This window comes from Homo sapiens, chromosome 2 (genome assembly GCF_000001405.40).
Source record: "Homo sapiens chromosome 2, GRCh38.p14 Primary Assembly".
Classification (NCBI taxonomy): domain Eukaryota; kingdom Metazoa; phylum Chordata; class Mammalia; order Primates; family Hominidae; genus Homo; species Homo sapiens.
The window spans coordinates 178842317-178864686 of NC_000002.12; the positions used below are offsets into that span (position 1 = coordinate 178842317).

General features: G+C 37.9%; 1 protein-coding gene across 19 annotated transcripts in view; it reads right to left on the bottom strand.

Annotated features, from left to right (window-relative positions):
* The window catches only part of CCDC141 (coiled-coil domain containing 141), a 235160-nt gene that overhangs the window by 27339 nt on the left and 185451 nt on the right, over positions 1-22370 (bottom strand). For 16 of the 19 annotated variants that reach the window (XM_047443998.1, XM_047443994.1, XM_047443993.1 and 13 more), the window contains 5 exons: positions 13941-14081; positions 13031-13225; positions 11125-11308; positions 7733-7845; positions 3310-3426 (listed from right to left, as the gene is read on the bottom strand). In XM_047443998.1, coding sequence (XP_047299954.1) covers positions 3310-3426; positions 7733-7845; positions 11125-11308; positions 13031-13225; positions 13941-14081 — 750 coding nt within the window. The remainder of the gene's footprint in view (positions 1-3309; positions 3427-7732; positions 7846-11124; positions 11309-13030; positions 13226-13940; positions 14082-22370) is intronic. The other 3 variants (XM_047443997.1, XM_047443987.1, XM_047443984.1) reach the window with 1 other exon arrangement.

The following is a 22370-nucleotide window of genomic DNA, read 5'->3' on the forward strand; positions in this document are numbered from 1 at the left end:
TGCAGTCTTATCTTTAAGTTCTCTAATTGTCTCTATATTCCTTGCCCCTCAAACATCTTACCCACTTACATATCTAGTAAACAATTAGCTTTTAATTAATACTAAATCTATTAGCTTCAAGTCTTATCTCTGTCAGGACTTCTGAACTTTCATTTCTGCTGATGGGCATAATCCCTTGCATTTAAATCATTGCCCTGTAGGCAGAAAAAATGTCTAGAAGGGAGAATACAGTGATATTCCTACATCCATTCAACTAAGTGGGCAGAACCAATCCTCAAAGTCCATAGAGCAGGGAACTACATATGTGGTAAATTTGAAGGAACACTACAAGATTTTATCTTCCAAAATACCTCCATAACAGATAGCCTTACTTTAGGGTAAATAAGATTTAATGAAAGTAAGTAGGAAGAACACAAAGGAAGATATTAAGCATAGGACTTGGTCTGTAAAACACATTTGTAGAGAAGGCCCTTAGCGGGGGCTTTAGACAAAAAGGGGTAATGTGGTATTTTGGGGCACTTTAGGTGGACAAGGTAAAAGAAAAGGGAACAGAGAGGTGGTGAAGAAGAACACTAATTTTCTTCCCAATTTCTTTCAAGGCAAGTGTTTCAGGAACATCTTCCTGTACCTGCCGGGTGATCAGGATTATTGTGTGTGTGTGTGTTGAGGGTAGAGGGGGAGTGCAGGGACCCTCCTCACCTAGTCTGATAAGAGCACTCCACTGAATTCTTTGGTGCAAAAAATATTTCCATGCTATTGCTTATAAGCAGATAAATAGGAAGAGGGGAAAAGTTTGTCATGGACATCTACAGTATCATTACAAAGCAGCTTATGTATACGCAATAGTTCCTGGGAGCTCCCATTTTGGTCTTGCGGGAAAAGTGTATGGCTAAAATTCAGGAGAATTGGGGTGACTGCCAGTTCTTACACTACTTTCTGTAATTTTTGGAGGACAATATATTCAATCCCTTTTGGCCTCAGTTTCCTCAACTGTAAAATGATATTTGATTAAATCCCTTCTAGCACTAAAATTCTATAACTCTAAATGCTGGCATCAAAAGCCATCATCTTCCACCAAATAGTTGCACGACTTTAGGTGAGTCTGTTAATACTGTGTGCTTCCATTTAACCTTAGGAGTTTTCATATCTTCAGTGCTCACATTGGGAATAAAACACCATCACTAATCTGTTAGCAGTGCTACGTGTGTTGCATTTAGTGAATTGCCTAATTCCACCTGCTGCATTTTTGGGTCTGAAAAATGAGAAGTACTTTGCTATCTCCAGGAAAAAAAATCCCTGCATTGAATATATTCTTATAGTAGTTCAGTGGAACTATTCTTTCCAACTCAAATAATTTCCTCAGGAATTCTACCATCATTTAAGGGTATCAGAATTGACTGCAATAATACCAGGACAAGCTTTTCACTTGGTGCTTCCTATCTGCCCACATGGGGTTGTGGAGAATCATTACATCTGATCTACATATAAATAATACAGACAATAAGAGGGTAAATGTGATTGAGCTACTTAAAAGTGAAGATTACTGCCACCTTTTCATTTTGCTGTCTACACCAATTGCACCAGGACATAACATGACGTTAATAACAATTCTTGACAGCTGTAATTGTAGACCTTCACTTACACCCAAAATGACTGATGCTCCAACCTTTTAGTTTGTATTAGAATAAAAGTTATTTTTCCATGAAGGTAAATCTTGCTTTTTTTTAATTTAAAGGAATCTGTTTCTTCTAACAAGAAAATAAAAGCAAGAAAAACTACTTTTACTAAGTATAAATTATTTTTGTTTGCTTTGGTAGCAATAACTTTTGTTTCTGAGTTCTTAGTAAGTGTGTCTAGTTCACAATGTAGGAAATTGTGCAGAACTAAATAAAATAAATGATAGGGTGTTGGAGTTAGTAACTCTTAGAAACCTTTTTAAGAAAATGTGGTGCATTTAAGGCTATTCTTTATTGTGTCGACCACTCATTCTCAAATGAAGTGATTTTAGTATAATAGATGCTACTGGCATCTAGTGAGCAAGGCCAGGAATACTGCTAAACTACAATGCGTAGGACAGCTCCCCACAACAGAGAATTCTCTGGCCAAAATGTCAACAGTGCTGTGGTTGAGAAACCCTGATTTAGACCAATCAGAGTAACGTAAAACCATTTGATACAAGAGTAGCATCCAGCAAAATGACCAAAGTTTGGCAGCTCTCCTTTGCCTCAGAGAGGAATCTGGGTTTAAGTCGCTCAAGACCCTACCACAAAAAAAGACAGTTTGCTTAACACTACTTGCTGCCTGCTGGTTGTATAACTGCACCAGGCCTTGACATAGATTAACCTGTGGAAAAGGACCTATAAGAAAGCTGAAAGAACCATACTGACTTCAAGGAAAGATAAATCTTTCTCCACAAAATAACTGTTACAAATGGAGAGGGTTTTTGTTTGTTTTTAACTCTCATGTCACAAGAAGTGTATTTTATTAATTTGAGCACGGTTCAGAATAATGTTGACTTTGATTGTTCCTTCAGCTCCTCAGGAGAGAAACACTGGGAGCAGGCAACTTGGCAAAGCAAAAAGTCAAAAGCTAATTATAGTCCAGCAGCTGTGAATAGAGAGTGAGCAACTTATGCTGAAAAACCATCTTGATGTTGTGATTTAAATAACACTTTCAAAATCATGATACATTTGCATTTTTGTGAGTATCTGTAGTCGTTACATGCTTTATCAGTAAGTGCATAAGTGTTACAATAATTTAAATATTTCTCTAAATACTTTAGTATTTATATTTCAGCTGGATTCTATGGTTTGATAAATGTGCCTGGAAATATCATCTTAGAGGTAGAGTCTATGGGAACAAGATATGATCTAATTTCACGTATTAAGCTTTGCTAATGGGTTGTGTAAAACATAAAAATCATGGCTTGGCAATATGATAAAAAGGGATAAGTAAAATTTGAAGTTGGATTGGATATAAAAAGACAATGGAAAAGGCAGCTAGAGATGGGAAAAACAAGTGGTTTGGGGTGACATGGCATTTAAATGGCTGTCCCAATGCTACTGTGAAATGTCATGGTTTCCAGTACTCGATAGTGAGAAGCTCAGAGGAAACAGCACAACAGAGAGAAGAAGCACCAATAGAGGAGCAAAAGGAAGCAAGGGAGGAGGAAACTCACATTGCATTTACACTGGGAAATTCTATTTGGATAGATAAGAAAGCTGCAATTCACTTTTATTTTGCAATGGACAATGACTTTAACCTCAAAGCAAAAGTCCTCAATAGCTGAGGTTAAGTAGTTTTCTTTACCTTATTCCTTTCTTCATTGAATATTGTCTGCTTATTTTTTGCTGGTTCCTTTAGCAAGTCAATGTAATCATAATGGAAGTCTTCCAAATTCGGATTCATCTTTAAAACATCTCCCTGCTGTACAAAGCAACAGTTAGTGAGAGCATGAGCCAGGAAAGTTGGAGAACAGTGCCATACACTAACTACTTGGAAGAAAACATAGACCACTTGCAACCTTTCAGCAAATATATTCCACAAGAGACTGGTGTACTCCCATGATGTGATTTATAAAATTATCCCTCCCAGCTCACAGTTTCCCTCCTGCCTCATTCCTTTGATAGAGTTCATTGCCAGTAAAAATTGGTTGTTGAAAGACCCAGCAGGAAAAAAGTAATCATTATAATAGGATGCTTCTGCAGGAGCATTCTCTAGAGAAAGGAATCATTATGCATGGCAGTGTAAACCATTAGGAGAGTCTGGGGAGCAGCAGTGAGGTAGAAATGATTAAAGATCTCTAGGGGAGAAGAAAGTAGGAAATCCAGAGAATCTACACAAGCAAAATACTGGGGAGACTCTTGAAAAGAGGAATAAAATATCACTGAGTATAGTAAAGAAAAACAGCAATTGAGAACACAGGATGCTTCATGTGGTTGAAGATATTTTGTTCCCTGCATTTCATGGGGCTCAGTTTTAGTCATGGAGGTAGTGGGGGTTTGCAAAGTACTGTGGAGTCAGTGCAAGAGCCGAGAAGACTTTGTAAAGGTGGAAAGAACCACTGGTATCACACATGATAGAACACACCAGTTTAGAATGATGATTATACTGCAATGGAAGAGTCTCTATTCCACCTGGAATAAAATCCTTAGATGAGTCTTAAACAAACATGCATGCTCATCAAAATGCATATGCAACACTGGCTCGGAGGATTCAGGGAGACCCACTACTGGGGAGATTCTGCTTTCAGTCCCAACTCTAAACCGAACTGGTTTGTGCTGCTCAATGAGTCACTCTGCTTTGGTATGCAGCTGATATCTTATTCCAAAATATCAGCTGGTGTGGAAAGAATGCTAGATTTTGAATTAGATCTAAATTCAAATTTCAGATCTACCACTATTGACTATTGGGGCCCATGTAAAGCACTCTTACCCTCTTTGGACTTTTCCTTTCACCTCTACACAGAAAACATTTGCCTTCTTTTCGTCTCAACATTATTTGGAAATCACTGGAGATAATGTATATGAACGTCCTTTGTAAGTCTCAAATTGCTATACATTAGAAAGGATTTCTATCACTATTTAAGCCCTGACAGGAATTGCTGAGCCCATTTTCTATAACTTTGAAAAGAGAGCCATAGCATCAACCTTTATATTTAATAACATAAAAAATAGACATTTGCTCTCTTCATACAAACACCTGTAAAGTGCTGGTAAGCATTCTTTGGGAAGCGTTTGTTGCGGCTGTAACTCATAAAGATAATGCTGATGCCTATTTCTCTTGCCAGAGAGACCCTTTCTCATTTCTACATCCACCCAAATTAAACATCTTCAAGCAATGAATGATAGTTCTTCTCTGTACCAATCCATTGGGCATTTACTACAAATGCCAAAACTCTTTCTGGAGTACCTGCTTTAGAAAGCAAAGCAGGCCAGGTGCGGTGGCTCACACCTGTAACCCCAGCATTTTGAGAGGCCAAGGCGGAAAGATCACTTGAGCCCAGGAGTTTGAGACCAGCTTGGGCAACATAGTGAGACCTCAACTTTACAAAAAAATCAAAACATTAGCCGAGTGTGGTGGTGCATGCCTGTGGTCCCAGCTACTTGGGAGGCTGAGGTTGGAGGATTGCTTGAGCCTGGGAAGTCGAGGCTGCCGTGAGCCATGATAACACCACTACACTCCAGCCTGGGCAACAGAGCAACACACTGTCTCTAAATAAATAAATCAATAAATAAATACAAGGCAAAGCATAGTGTTAAATATTGTGTGGGACACTAAATTTAGCAGCGCCAGAGGGTTTCCTTAAGTATAATCAAGTAGGGAGGGTTGGGATGGCAACAGCAGTTATATGTGATGTAATTATATGTAGTAGTTATATGTGGGATTATACTAGTGTTATAGCCTGAATGTTTATGCTCCCCCAAAGTTTATATGTTAAAATCCACATCCTTAAGGCGATAGTATTAGGAGATGATGCCTTTGGGAAGTGATTAGGTCATGAGGGTGAAGCCCTCATGAATAGGATTAGTGCCCTTAGAAAAGAGGCCTGAGAGACACCCCTCATTCTTTTACCATGAAAGGTTAGAGTGAGTAGACAGCTACCAGGAAGTCCTCACTAGACACCAAATCTGCCAGCATCTTGATCTTGAACTTCCAGCCTCCAGAACTATGAGAAACAAATGTCTGTTTTTCATAAGGCATCTTGTCTATGGCATTTGGCATAGCAGCCAGGATGGACTAAGACAGGTAGGAAGGCACACAAGTGGCATGGGAGATCAGGGAGGGAGTGATATAGCTAAGGAAGGATTTATGGAGGAGGCAGCATTTGGGTTTGGCTCTGAGAGATGGTAAGATTTCGAAAAACAGAGACAGAAGGTCGTGTCCTTGAAGTAAAGGTTTAGAAGTGAGAAATCCCAGGGAGCATAGTAGATCAGTGGGACACAGACCTACAGTGAATGCAGAAGCACAATGGTTTGGAAAGGTGACCAGCTTCAGAACATTGAAAGGCCTTGAATTGGAACTTGACTTGGTAAGGAAGAGTTTGTAGTAGAGTGTTGTGAATGTGAAGATGACACTAGCAGAACTATTTAGGAAGGGTAATCTAGCTGGGAGTATAATTAGGGGACTCCTGACTACTGCAAAAGAGAATCCAAGTGACAGGTTGAGCGTGAGAAAGAGAGAATGCAATCCTGACTACACTGAGGGTGTAAGGAATGGAGAATGAGGAAGTGGGAGAGGCTGTGGAAACAGCTCTTTCAGGAAGAATAGCCATCAAGGTAAAAGCTGGAAAGGGATATAACTTGAAGAAAGTAGATTTTATGAAGCTGACCCTCACTTGAAGATGTGCAACGTAAACGGGAGGAATATTGTAGACAATGAAGAGCAAAGAGTCGGAGGAAGCACTGATTTTCGGCCTTCGTATTGGAAGTCAGAAGCAGCAGCAGCTCCTCGGTGGTGGGGTGGAGGTGGGGAGGAAAGAATAAATGTTGAAAAAGATAACATGAGATATGTGGTTTATTATCATTGTGAAACAATGATGGGAAGCAAATAACATACATATTAGAAATATTAATCATTTCATATATTAAAAATTTCAGTTTTCTCAAACCTGATTGTAGAATTTATGTGTGGGTAATAATACAAAAGAAAGAAAAAGCTATGCACGAAGATGTTCATTGTAGTGTTATTTAAAATGGTAAAATGGTAAAAAAAAATCTAGATTTTTAACCAAAGGATAAAGATAATTTGGTTGGGCACCCACTGAATTAAAAGCCTCACAAACTATTTGAATAGAAGAGGCACATAAATTTATGACATGGAAATTCCTACAGAAAAAAGAGGCTGCTAGAAATAAACATAATTCTGCTCTGAACTGCAAGACCACCACTAGGCCTCAATAACAATTATCACAACAATAATCTTGAGTATCTTCACAGTCAATCCTCCGGGCTACCCTGGGATCCACTTTGTAGATCAGGAAACAGGCTCAGGGAGATTAAATAATTTACCCAAGGTCACAAATCCAATTATTTAGGGAGTTGGTATTTCAAGGCAACTGTGCTTTGCTCTACAGCCTTTGATCTTAATGACCTTGCTGTTCTCCCCATCCTCAACAACCAGTTCTTTCAGCCAGCTATAAAAACAGCATTAATCAAACCAGTTTTTGACATGACATTGACAAAGAAACATATGTATTTCACTTTAACTGGTTTTGCTTAGACATAAACATATTCTCCATATTTGTTACCATCAAATTTGTATTCTACGAAAAGTGATCATGATTAGTTTACTATTTCCATGAGGAAAAGTGTTGAATGAATATAATACCTGAAGATTACTTGTATTTTCTCTGGTGCCACAATTTGGAGAGGAAAAAAAAACCCTGGCATCTATTATTTATGAACAAAACCATAGGCTACTTAATACAAAGTTTACTGGCAGAGTCTTAATGGGACACATTTTTTAGGATATGATCCATGAAAATGTAAACCAGACACCTTAATTGTGTTTAGCCTTCATTACCAGCAATATTTTTCTCTGCAGTGATGGGAAAGAAATAGAATTAATTATCACAAACACCCAGATAATTATGTTTGAAAGCTGTAAAACAAATGTGCACATTATGTACCCTGAGAAATTCTGTTAAAATGTCTTTGCACCAGAAGACATTTGATTAACACATTTTTATTTATTTTGCTTGAAAATACATATTCTAGGAAGAAGAAATTACCTTCAGTTTTTCTTCGAGCTCTGTGAGGGACTCACATAATTCAGTCACAGATTCAAGAACCTCTTTGTGTTTTGTCACTATTTTCTCAATATATTTCTGTCCTTCTTCCAAACCTGGGGAGGAGAAGGATGAAACTAGTTTTAAAGGTCAAATTTTTAGCAAGAAGAAAAGTCCAGGTATAAATTCATCTCCCTGTCCAGTGTAAGGGCTGATAAATTGTAAGTTCTTAATAAATATTTGCTGAAGAGATAAATAAATGAATAAAGACAAGTTTCTAAAAGCTAGATATTCTAGGAAAATGATTACATTTGCTGTACCACGCCACTTGCATGTAACCTAAATAATGTTGCTACATGAATAGTCTTAAAGCTCAATTCTCCTTAGTTTTTCCTGTTCAAAACATTCAGTGGTTCCTCTCTGCTTAGAGAAGAATAAATTCCTCAGGATGGCATTCAAGTCCCTTCCATAACATGGCTTCAATCTGCCTCTCCCAAATGTATGTCACTCTAGTTCTCTCCTGTATTTTATCTCCAGCCAAATGGAACCAGCAACTCCTCCCTGAAGATCCACACAGCAGCTGAGTATTCCTTCCTCTACCAGGACTACTGTCCCTCCACTCTCAATTTCTGCTGTCAAAATATAACCTACTCTTTAAGGTCCACCTGAAATGCCAACATTTCTGTGAAGATATTCTTAATCTTTTCCAACTGGGTTTCTCTCTATATATTGTAATAAAAATAGCTACCATGTAGCACATGCTTATTATTTGCCTGTGCCTAAGCACTGTATAACCATTGCTCAATGTAATCCTTGGATAGATTCTACTACTATCCACATTTTACAAATGAGGAATGTGATGCTCAAAAGATCTTCTTGCCTCGGCATAGTGTCTCGCGCCTGTAATCCGAGCACTTTGGGAGACCGAGGTGGGCAGATCACTTGAGGTCAGGAGTTCGAGACCAGCCTGACCAACATAGTGAAACCCCATCTCTACTAAAAATACAAAAATTAACCTGGTGTGGTGGCACATGCCTGTGATCTCAGCTACTCGGGAGGCTGAGGCAGGAGAATCACTTGAACCCGGGAGGTGGAGGTTTCAGTGAACCGAGATCATGCCACTGCACTCCAGCCTGGGTGACAAAGCAAGACTTTGTCTCAAAAAAAAAAAAAAAAAAAGGACTTCTTTAGGTGACCCAGACAATAAATGGGGGAACAAGGATTTGAACCCAGAACTATCTGACTCTACACCCTAGGCCAAGATTGTATCACACATTGTTATGGGCTGAACTATGTCCCCCCATCCTGCCAAGTTCATATGTTGAAGTCCCAATTCCCAGTACGTCAGAATGTAACTGTATTTGGAAATGAGATCTTTAAAGAGGTGGTTAAATTAAAATGAGGCCATTGGGATGGGGCGCTAATCCAATGTGACTGGTGCCCTTACAAGAAGAGGGAGAGACACCAGGGGCATGTGTGTGCAGAGGGATGACCACGTGAAGAGGCAGCAAGGGATCAGCCATCTGCAAGCCAAGCAGAGTGGCCTGAGATGAAATCAACCCTGCTGGCATCTTCATCTTGGACTTCCAGACCTCAGAAGTGTGAGAAAAGAAGTTTCTGTTGAAGCCACCCAGTCAGTGGTATTTTGTTACGGCAGCCCTAGCAAACAAGCACAAACATTTTATGTCCTTCTCACTCCATTTACCATACCATGACTTCAAGGACTAGACTGTGGTCTCTTGAATGGAGGAACTAGGTCTTAATTGTCTTTATAACAGCCACAGCTCTTAGTAGATAACAGGTATGCACAAATTTGTTTGAGATAATTTTTTGCATGAAAATTCTGAGTTCAGTAATGCTTGAGTAGCTTGCAAGAGTTGATACAATCTTAAAGTGCCTCCCTTGATGCAAATTTTAAAAAATATATAGCTTCCCTACCAAACAGACGGAGACTCATGTCATTCATTTACTCATTCAGTGATTCATTTATTTATCAAATATTTGTTAAGCAGTTGGTATGTGCCATTAGACAGTGAACTAACAAGCAAAATCGCTCCTCAAATACAGCTTACACTCTGGTAAGGAAAGTCAGGCAACAGACAAATACCTATATAAAATGTCAGTTGGTGATAAGTGCCAGGAATATAAACAAAGCCAGATGCAGGATCTTGCAGGACGGGAAGGGAATTTAACTTTTTAGGGTCTTTGTCAGCACTTCTCATGCTCTGAGATTGAATAGGCACTGATCCAGGCACAAATACAGTGAAAAAAATATACTTTCCTCAAGTTTATGGGTAGTAGAGAAGACCAATAGGTATTTATACTACAACGTAAAAAGTTCAATCGTGGAGGAAACATATATCAGGCTATGGGAGCAGAGTGTCTCCAAAATATTTAGTGCACTCACACGGTAACTCCAGCAAGAAGATGTCACCTTAGTTTCCATTAATTTTTCAATCCATATTTTATTATTTTTATGTTTCTATCCTTTTCTTCTGGAATATTATGAATAATTCATTCTCAACAATTTAAGTAGTATACTACAAAATTTATGGCTCTCCATGGATAGTGTTTCATGTTATAAGAGAAAATACCTGGCAGCAGCCATGGGCAGGCAAATTAAGCATTTTGTACCAACTGTTGTGTCTTCTTTCTGGGCTGCATTTGCCTGGTCACTGGGAATTACTCTGGGTCTCACAGGACCGATACCAGGGAATTCATGGAACTTATTCCTCAGAACCCTCAAGAACTATCATCCTCCATGGACTTCTTAAATGGGGGGCCTCTTTTAGGAGGAAGGATCTCTCAGGCTGACATGACATTATCTTTCCTAGTCATGGAAGAGAGGAAAGCAGAACTTGTAAAATGGCAATTTGAGTTCTCCCATTTATTCCACAAGTGAGAGGAAAGTGAAGGAGAATTTTCCAGGTCTTTCTCAAATATGTGAGCCAAAAGCCTCATAGAAAGGAGAGGACTGGAGACTTCAGTCTTAGCTTTATGTCTTCTTAAAGTATTACTGAAATTTTGTATGTTTTTCAAGGAATCACTCTAGTGGAAATTAGATTTTGTTTGTTTGTTTGTTTATATAAGCTGAGTATTGTTCTGGTGTTATTACCCTAGAGATGAACAACAGGGATGGAGGAGAAAAGAGAATAGAGAAGGAAGGCTTACACAAAGTAGGTAAAAATCTGCAGGCTTCATCTGCTGTCAGAAATTCCTCCCTCTGTTCCCTGTTTGCTTTCCCTGGCTGTGGGCTCTTACCTTGAACATTTTCCCTGAATACACTGGTGTGCTGAGGACCCTGAGGACTTGCCACACTCTTGCTGTCTACTGGATTAGGCTCAGTATAGATTTGTTCAATGGCCAATCACTGGATATCTTAAAAGAGATCTCACCATATAAGTGCTGAGCAAGGTCAGTGGCCTCCTGAATCCTTTCTTCTTGCTGCGGCACTGAGGGTGCAATAAACTTATTAAACTGCTGGTGGAGAATTTTCACAGCTTCCTTTGTCTTGCACTCTGTGGAATATTTTCCAACTCTTACAACTGTGGCACTTGCATCTTCGTACCAAAAATGACACTAAATTTAAATGGGATAAAGCACAGATGAAAGAAATACCATCCTTCTAAAGTTCTTAATTTTGACCAGTGAAGTATCAAATTTTAATTCCCTCAACTTAATGTTCACATTGGCTTGAACTTTCTAAGTCATAATAAAGAAAATATTAAAACATGATCGTATTCTACAGCACTTAAATGTTAGCAGCAGAAATAAATACAAATGTGAAAATATGTATAAATAAAACTATAAGAAAGTAAAAATATGAAAATATATTTGATTCTCCTACCTTCTTAGGTTTGCCTAAAATATAATTCCTAAGAGGAATGTTGCAGACTTATAAGAACAGGCAGGATAAAAAGCATCTGGCACTAAAAAGAATCCAAATACATGCTAAATGGCAAGAAAAAAGCCAAATGTTCACAATCCAGCATAAAGAATTGATATCATTAATCATACACTGCTAAAGTATTGCCTGATGAATACTCTAATAAATAAATTATCTTTGAAGAATAAGATTTAGTTTATGAATGGGAAAATATCATCTAACAAATAGCATTTCACCTTTGCTTAGTAGAAAATGGTTATAGTTTCCAAACACAGTGGAGAATGAGACAGTTTCTCATTAAAAATAACTGTGGCTGGGCGTGGTGGCTCACGCCTGTAATCCCAGCACTTTGGGAGGCCGAGGCAGGCGGATCACGAGGTCAGGAGATCGAGACCATCCTGGCTAACACGGTGAAACCCCATCTCTACTAAAAGTACAAAAAAGTAGCCGGGCGTGGTGGTGGGCGCCTGTAGTCCCAGCTACTCGGGAGGCTGAGGCAGGAGAATGGTGTGAACCCGGGAGGCAGAGCTTGCAGTGAGTCGAGATCACGTCACTGCACTCCAGCCTGGGAAACAGAGCGACACTCCATCTCAAAAATAAATAAATAAATAAATAACTGTGATGGAAGGAATGTCTGACTCAGGCCTGAAGCACTTATGCAGGGTGAGAAATAGAAACACATGACTCTGTTAGAAGTTGGTTTTAAATAAGTGCCACAAAGGGACCACAAACTTATACATCATATGTAGAAGACTGATCATTTTGATTCTCCTTAATCTGGTGTTAAATCTAAAAACTCAGCTGCATTAGTGGTAAAGACGTTCTGTATCTCAAACAATAATGGGCAACAAAGAACACTCAAGAACTTCAAGTGCAGAATTTCTTCAATACAAAGTGTTCAAACAATAACTTTAACTTGCCAAATTTCATATATTTTATGTATACTCTACCATTTATCTTCTTGACAGTAATAAAAGAAAACACCAATAACAACTTTTTGTAGCTGAAAAATCACAGTATCACTTTTTAAAATAAATATTTTCAAGTTCTGTGAAATAAATAAACCATTCTGAGCATTTTAAACAGATATCCAGCAGTGAACATAATTTCATGATAATTAAACATCTTCATCTGATGAGGTTATGGAGAAACAGGAACTCTCACACATTGCCAGTAAATTAGTAAAGACTTTTCTCAAGAGAAATTGACCAATAAAATCAAAGACCTTATAATATTCATCCCCTTAGGTCCAGCAATTCTATTTCAGAGAATTATCCTAAGGAAAAAAAATCATGAAAAGGAGCATGATACATGAATATAATGAGAATAACAGCTAATGCAACATTGCTTTAAAGTTGCAAAATGATTTTTGAAAACAACATTACAACATGGATACCACTGCAAAAAGAGAATACCTCTTCTATCACCTCCTGGAAATGCTCAGTCAGGTCCAAATTCTTCTTGTAATCTGTCACAACTTTGTCAAAGTCATCCACATGTTTTTGCAAATCCTTCATGACTTCCAAAAGGACATTAACTTTATCACTTGGATAATTTAAGAAAGAATCAGAGGTTTTATTACTAACTTTTTCCATTTTCCTTTTCAAAGCCTGTGTGAAAAACAAAAAGTTTTTTAAACAACATTCAATTTGTATTTATGATGCTAGTGATTAAATACTGAGAGAAAAACTGGTAAAAATTTTGCAGCTTCCTCCAATCTATTAAAATAATAATTATTACAAATATATTATGGTAAGAATGGGTTTCCCCCCAAATTCTATTGATTTAGCATTCAGCAAATAAATAGAAAATGTACACAGGTGTATTCCAGATTTTGAGACTAGTAATATGATCTTTTTTAAAGACATTGATGATTAAATCAAATACTTGTCCTCAATAAGCTCACTGTCTCCTGGAAAAGGCATTCAAATAATCCAGCCAGTACATGTAATAATCAAGGTAAGAATAAGAGGCTATAGGAGCAGCAAAACTGATGACATAGATGGATGCAAGAAAAGGAGGAGGAGTGTAGAAGGCACGTGCATGCATCCATGTGTGTGTGTATGTGTTGGGGAGAAGAATGGAAGTAGACAGGTTGGGTTTGGCAGAAACCATTCTGGATCTGCCTCAAGAGGTAAATCAATTTATTATGTATTTTTACATGAAGGATAAAATTGTTATAAAAATAGAAAAATACCCTTTGAGTCCCAATGCTACAAAAAGCCAGAGTTAGGTATCTAGATTTGAAATTCAAAACAATTTTGCAATAATTGTGTAGTACATGCATACACATGCGCACATATACAAACCATACTTTCTTGTTACCTGCATTTTTTCAGCATACATATCAACTTGCTGAATTTGATATTTAAGCGCCTTCAGATTCCGAGATTTTTCATTTTTCTTAGTGTAATTAAACTTCAAATTATTGAATTTCTTTTTGATATCTTTGAATGAGTCTTTGAGCTGTAGTTCAATAAAAAGAAATAGGTGGTTTCCTTAAAATGAGAAAACAAAGTCACTTGCAATAAATCAAAGCATCTGAACACTTCAAAATACTCATAATCTTAAAAAGGTATTTAGGGTAATTTTCCCTCCCTCCCTCCCTCTCTCTTTCTTTCTTTCACTCTTTCTCTTTCTCTCTTTCTTTCTTCTCTCTCTCCCTTTCTTTTTTTGAGACAGGGTCTCACTTTGTCACTCAGGCTGGAGTGCATTGGCACGATCTTGACTCACTGCAACCTCTGCCTCCTGGGTTCAAGCAATTCTCATGTCTCTCCTAAGTAGCTAGGACTGCAGATGTGTGCCACCATGCCTGGCTAATTTTTGTATTTTTAGTGGAGACAGGTTTTCACCATGTTGGCCAGACTGGTCTCGAACTCCTGGCCTCAAGTGATCCACCTACCTTGGCCTCCCAAAGTGCTGGGATTACAGGCTTGAGCCACCGCGCCTGGCCTCAGAGTGATTTTCATTATAAAACAAATCTGCCAAGTGGACATACCAAGTGAATTTAAATATATCTTCCAAATATAAGTAATTATAAAATGTTAATACTTTTCGATTTGTAATTTTTAATTAGGATTATAGCTATAGAATATTCCTTTGTCCCTCAAGTAAGAAAATTTCTCACATATCATACATAAATTTTAACAACTCTAGTTTTCTTATTTGAATTTATTTGATATCTTTTTTCCCATTCATTCTGTTTTCGATACACTAATATTTGCCCCAGATCTCTCTATCTTTTAATACTCTCTCACAGCCATCATGTATACATTTATTAAGGCTCCAAAAAGCTATCCATGTTGAAGAGGTCAAAGAAGCGTTGACATTTAGACCAGCCAGGACATTGGTGGGGTGGAAGAGAAGACCCAATATGAGATTTAGTAGAAAAATAACTATATCTGCCCAGTTAAAAATTATTTTTCGTGAGCAGTTCTGAAAAGAGTTTTACCCCTTAGATATAGACCATTAACTTCAGAGATCCTTCAAAAACAATAAAAGTAAAGTGAGAGTTGTTGCTAATGACGGCTATGCTAACTTGTGTATAAATAAAGCATATAGCTATACATAGGGGATAGATTTTGACAGTCTTAACAACAGTTCAACTTTACCAGTGCACCAAATTTCTAAGCAGTGCAGTTCCATTAAATGCACCACTTTCTGTCCCTTCTCTATATTTAAGAAGGATAAGCATATCGACAGGCAACTCTCTCTTTGTATTATCACCAAAGAGAAGTACAGAGAAAAAAACACCTTCTCAGATTATATGGAGGCATTTAACAGCAAGAGTGAACAATGTCATGGTTGATAAATTTGAGCTAAGATAAGAGAAGTCAGAAAAGCATTAAAATTCTTTTCAATGATAGCAAACAAATTATTTGGGAGGGAATAAAGACTGTGCATGTGCTAGATTATAGAATTGTAATGCAGAAAAATATACTTGCCCTACAAAATGCATGCTTTCTCAAAATGCTTATTTCAAATTCTGCAGACTGTGAAAATAAAGCCTTTATCTTATCTGTAACACATCTTAGAGACATCAACTTTAAAGCCCTAGTGGAATTGCGAACGGAAATTATTATACTGATAGAATTTTTGCATCTGATACACATATACTTAATCAGTGTTGTTTAGTTTATATGGTAAATAAAGTTGTTGAACATTACTTTAAGTTACAAACTAAACCAAGCATAGAGACCGCATGAACCACTTTAACTGATAAATAAATCAGTAATGTTCAGAAAAAGTGAAAAGCTTCAGAATTTGAACATTATTTCTCTATTAGAAACTCAGGGGAATATTTAAAAGATCATATTCAGTTGATATATTTGTGAAATAACTAGTAAGTATTTACATTCTACGGCACTCAATGTTTTAATGTGCGTATGTTTGGTTTTAACAGGAAAGGATAAATAATGTCAATTTTATAAGATTGAGATATAAAGGCGTTATATCCTTAGTAATTTACATAAAATTTTGGCAGGAGTTTTTGCAACTACATATATAATAAGTACATCTGAGGAAACCAGACATTATTGTTTTAAAAAACATCTCAATAATGAGTTACTATTTAATGAGTGCAGAGTTTCTGTTTAGGTTGATAAAAAAGTTCTGCAGATGGATGGTAGTGATGGGTTCACAACAATGTGAATGTACTTAATACCACTAAACTATACACTTAAAACAGTTAAGCTGGTAAATTTCATGCTATGTGCATTTTACCACAATTAAAAATAAAGGGAAAAAATGCCCTGTCACTAACACTTATCCATTGGAAAATAAACTTATATATTCTTCTACTTATATATAAGAATATATAAAATATAGTCATATATTTTTCTCTACTGAAATGTGACATATATCAGAAAACCTTAGTCTAGAGAAAGGAAGAGGGGCTCTGTCATTAACCTGATAACCATTGGATTACATCTGCTTTAAATGGGAAAGTTCAATGTCTATTTGAAACCTATATGATAGAGAAAGGCTGAGATTTAATACTTTAATTCTCAACCATGAGATTTTAAATCTACTTTGGATTAAGAAATTTAAGACTGATAAATGATGAGTGTGATTTGATTTCTGTTTGCTTCAGAACGTGTGCACTTCCACTGAAGATGATTTATAAGGTCAAAGAATGTTCATGACACTATGAGTATGTGAAATGGGATCAAGTTCTTTCTGACACATGAGCTCCCTTGACAAAGTTGCTGGCACTTTTCTCTTTTGGTTTCACTGGAAATCCATTTTAAAACTAAATCTCTGTGCCTTTTTCAACTCAAATTCAGGACTACTGCAGATACAAGTGGAAGGCAGTATGCATGAAACTACCTTCAGCGATTGAAAAATCTTGCCATTCTTAATTTTCTTACCTGCACTTTCCAATATGAAAACTTAACTTCCCATCTAATCCCCACATAACTTGTGGTCATATTTTTAAAGGAACTGAGTGCCATAGTCGCTGGGCTGTGGTATCACTGTTCACACAGCTGTTTCTAACTTTAGTCAACTTGTCAACAATGGGGAATGGCGGGATGGGGCTGAGACAACTGCTCAAGTTGAGCACATAAGTGGAGAAAAACACCCCAAGCTTGGGGTGAGAAAAAGTTTACCCTGTTAGAAATCTTGAAATGGTGTTATAATTCATATTAAAGTTCCTCAAAGTCTTCAGAAAATTAGGGAAAATATATTTTTAATGAATAATTTTATTTTCCCATCTTTTCACATGTTCAGCTCTTCTATATTTACCATAGAATAAACAGACTGAGTTAACATAGCTATAATTAGAAATAAGTTATTAAGATTTAAAAACTATAGCTATTTTGAAATTAGCAGAATGAGCATCTTTGCCAAATTTTCCAGCATGCCGTAAGCCCCTTCTCAGGGTTAGGAATAAACAAAGCTTCTTTGGAAAGAAGCAGAAGGGAAAGAGGCTGATGCCAAGTGAGGCTGGCTTGCTATTGTTAGTCTTGACGAAGCTGGTTGAGCCAGCTTTGGCATAAGAATGTATTATTTATAAGTTTGCTGCTGTCAAGGCCAATTTGTGTGAGGGACATGGGATATTTAAAACAGAAATGCATTTAATGCATTTAAAAAGAAAGCCTTTCCTTAGAACTATGGCACATGTTTGGCCAGAAGCAAAAATATAAAATGACTGGTCAATCTCCACAATGTCCACTTCATGAATGTCATTTCTTGCCTGTCATTTTATTCACTCCAGAAAAAAAGCTTTTTGATGCTCATATTCAGTAACAGAAAGCTGTGATGTTATCACCTCCCAGGGATGCTTCATTCAAAATCAAGAGACCCAAAAGTTCAAAATTTAACCCAAATCATTTGCTACAATTATCAATTATCACTTAGGGAGGCTGAGGCGGGTGGATCACCAGAGGTCAGGAGTTCAAGACCAGCCTGGCCAACATGGTGAAACCCCACCTCTACTAAAAATACAAAAATCAGCTGGGCATGGTGGTGCATGCCTGTAATCACAGCTACTCAGGAGGCTGAGGCAGGAGAATTGCTTGAACCCGGGAGGCAGATGTTGCAGTGAGCCAAGATTGCACCATTGCACTCCAGCCAGGGCAACAGAGCGAGACTCAAAAAAAAAAACAACACTTTTTTTTTTTTTTTTTTTTTTTTTTTTTGGTAGAGGCAGGGTCTCACCATCTTGCCCAGGCTGGACTTGAACTCCTGGGCTCCAGCAATCCTCCTACCTTGGCATCCCAATTGTAGAATATTCAGACTTAGTACCAGAGAGATTTCAGGACAAGACTTTTTGGCCTCCTTCCATTTGGCAACCACTCCCTTGTCTTCTTGTGCTTGAGGCCAGCCGCTAGCGGCTGAAAGTGGGATAACTTGGGAAGACGTGACAATTGCTCTGTCTTAAATTGTAGGTAGCAACAGGCATCAGTAATACATATTTTATCCATTTTGCATGTTTTGTGTCTTCATAATATGTTAAGTTTTGTTTTCTGAACATGATAACCATAATTTTAAACTTCAGCTCTGTTTATTGTTCAGGAAGTTTCCACAGTCATTTTGCAGATGTTAAACACCAAAATGTTAACATTTTAACCTTATGGAATGGATGCTTTTAGAGCAAATTGTAATCTTTCTTATCCTCTTACACATACCATCCAGATGGACCCAGGATGGGGCCCACTAGAGGAATGGCTGTGACTGTGAAGTCCCATGGGTTTTAATGCTATCTAGACTCGAAGTTTCCTGAGGATGTTTGTGCTTTTTTTTTTTTCTTTTCAATAGAGTCTCACTCTCTTGTCCAGGCTAGAGTGCAGTGACGTGATCACAGCTCACTGTAGCCTCAAACTCATGGGCACATGGGATCCCCCTGCCTCAGCATCTCAAGTAATTGAGACTACAGGCACACATCACCATGCTCGGCTAATTTTTAAAAATTTTTTGTAGGGCCGGGCACAGTGGCTCACGCCTGTAATCCCAGCACTTAGGGAGGCTGAGGCAGGTGGGTCACCAGAGGTCAGGAGTTCAAGACCAGCCTGGCCAACATGGTGAAACCCCATCCCCACTAAAAATACGAAAATTAGCTGGGCATGGTGGTGCATGCCTGTAATCACAACTACTCGGGAGGCTGAGGCAGGAAAATTGCTTGAACCCAGGAGGCAGAGGTTGCAGTCAGCCAAGATCGTACCATTGCACTCCAGCCTGGGCGACAGAGTGAGACTCAGTCTCAAAAAAAAAAAAAAAAAAGTTTTTTTTGTAGAGGCAGGGTCTCACCATCTTGCCTAGGCTGGACTGGAACTCCTGGGCTCCAGCAATCCTCCTACCTTGGCATCCCAAAGTGCAGGAAACACAGGTGTGAGCCACTGCTATTTGTATTCTTATGGCTTGGTACACAGAAGCCACATTAACACATTCGTTGAGTGAATATAATGGAGTCCTTTTTAAAGAAAATAATGAATTCAGGTTATAAATCTTGAAAAATAATTATTGTCTGCACTATACCATTGTGCTGCCCTGTTGGGTGTTTTGCCGTCTGTGCAAACTCTTTCTCTGCTTCCTTTCCTGCCAGTGGGTAGCAGTCCATGGTCATTTTGTCAGTGGCAAAGCACTATACAATGTCAGACGGTTTTAATTTTATTGCGTATGTGTCTATAGCAACACTATTCCTCTATTCTAATTTACTGCTACTAATCGACTTGTATCCCTGTAACTCATTTGACTGATTTATTCGAATTGAAAAAAGAATTTGTGCCATTAGAACATGTGACCGATACATGGAACATATATACTAAGTCCTTTTCTGCATAATTCCTGATGGGTAAGATGTTGCTACAGTGGAAAATTTCAGGGTAAGGTAAATAATTATCTGGAAGTTCTATGTGGAAAACTTGAGAACACGGATACCAACCCGATTCTGTCATTACTATTCTTTTCAGCAAAGTAATTGTGATCTGTAATATGAGCCTCGAGTTACAAATTTCCATTAACATCATGTAAATGTAAAGGTACTGTTTTTGGTCAGGTTCAAAGAAGAAAGCATGCTTGATATTTACTTATTACATTTCTAAATGTGGATGTGTAAAGAATGATGTTTCTGTGTCATGTAATATGGCAGAGAATATGTCTACTGTGCTTTGTGTATGAACAACTTATTTATATAGTCAGGCAAGAAAAAATATGAATTATATTCAACATTCAAGCATACAAATGTATCTTTGTGTGAAATGGGTAGGAAAAAGCACAAAGTCTGGCAGTCTGAAGATTATTTTTCTAGTAGGTAGACATGAAGAAAATAAGGTTCTACAATTTCCTATGTCTTCATATGAAATTGGAAAAAAATGGTTTTTTCTCAAAGATAAAGCACAAACTATCATTCGTTGTCTCTAAGGCACATCACATTACATTTTTAAAAATTACATTTAGAACACTTTATTTTGCCTTGAGGTATTGAGTTCTTTTCTAAGGGCTTTCAGTGAAGTTAAGACCATGTAAGTTAGCTACAGCACAGTCAAGAAAGAAATTTTTTTGAAATAACCAAATGAACTGTACTATTATATCAGATCATACAAACATCTTAGATATACCAGAAAATAGGGATAGAAGAGGAAAGCATAAAAAAAAGAAGATATTTAACATCAGACCATGCAGTGGTTGAATGGCACTGAAATATTATGTAAATGGTGAATTCTGAGTTTAACAAATCATAAGCATGTTGGTGCCCAACAAATGAGTCTGTGGCCTGAAGTTGATCCCCTGGAACACCCTGAGCTGAAACTCTGTTGTCCTGTAGCATATTCATAACATGAAAGTCATATGCTCCTCAGTTTTCCCATCTGAAAAATGAACATACTGAACTGGACATTCTCAAAAATCCATTGCAAGTCAGAGTCTGTGAACTTTCTAACAGTACTTTAAGCACATTGAAAGTGAAACTGTGTTTAAAAATCAACTTTAAACATAAATGCTATACTTGGTTTAGTCCTCTGGCATGTTATCTAATTTTAATTGTTTATGCAGAAAAAAATCAGTATAACGTATCATATTTAATTTTACGTAAGTTTTAAGCAGCTATACCCAAAGACTAATAATGATAACAACGATAATAATGTCTAGATAGCAAATATTATTACCACTGTGGAAACTGCCATCTGTTTGGGCTCTGCTGTTCACAATATAAACTGGAACACACATATTTTTATTTTCCTAAGGGACACGGAAAATATTCCTTCTGATTATTTTCCCTTAGGCCTGTGGTGGGAAAGTCCAGGGTGTGCACACGCACTACATGTCCACAAAAAAGGAGAAGTGACAAAGACTCAAAGTTCTCAGAGGTCATTTAAATGTGAAATTGTAAGTTACATGAAAGATTAACTGGATCAGTAGTGGAAGCAAATGGGAAGAATATCTCTCTTAAAATGTAAGAGCATGCTAAAGTGATACCTGATTCCTAAATCAAACCCGCATGTATCTGGCTGCTCATTCCTGACACGGTACAGACAATCCTGGGGCGTACCTACTATTGACAGGAAGGGAAATTTGTCATCCCGGCCGGCTGGCTCCAAACACAGTCTCATCATGAGGCAGTCCCTATAAATAGAATTCCTGCTGGAAGGGCCTGAACAGGGAGACCCAGCTTCATAAATGTCACAGCTCTACAGGGAGCTAGAAACGGAGCCAGAGGGGGCTGGGAAAACCCCTCAGCCTGCTCCACTTGCGCTTTAGCAAATGTAGAGCCCAACCATCACTGCAAAGAGGGAGGATTTTGGCAAGACAAAGGTTTACAAATAGAAGTAGAGGAGGAGGAAGAGAAGGAGGGAAAACGGGAAGAAAGGGGGAGGGGAGGAAAGAAGAGAGAAAGAGGAATAAAGAAGATCACTTTAAGGAAAGACTGTAAAGGAATAGCTTCCATAACCATGAATCCACATTTTGTAGCCTTGGGGAGACCAACGTGCTCTGACGGTTTTCCTTAACAAGATGTGATTGACGTGTAAGCAGCAGCATAGGAACCGGAAGTGGCCATTCTATCAAGTAGAGGGCAAATTACACTACCGGTTCAACCCCGAAGAGTCGACGCCTCTCTAGCCAAAAGTAACTCCCTGGAACACAAATTATGAGCTGAAACTCTACAGTCCTGTAGCACACCGCTGAAATGAACATCATTATCAGATGTCAGTTCCTGCTTCCCTCCTGTTTAACAGAATCCAAGTAGCCACTCTTGCTCTCTTCCCCTCTGGTTTTCCTTCCAGCCATGGTCCATCCTGCACCTGCCTGTGGTCTGTA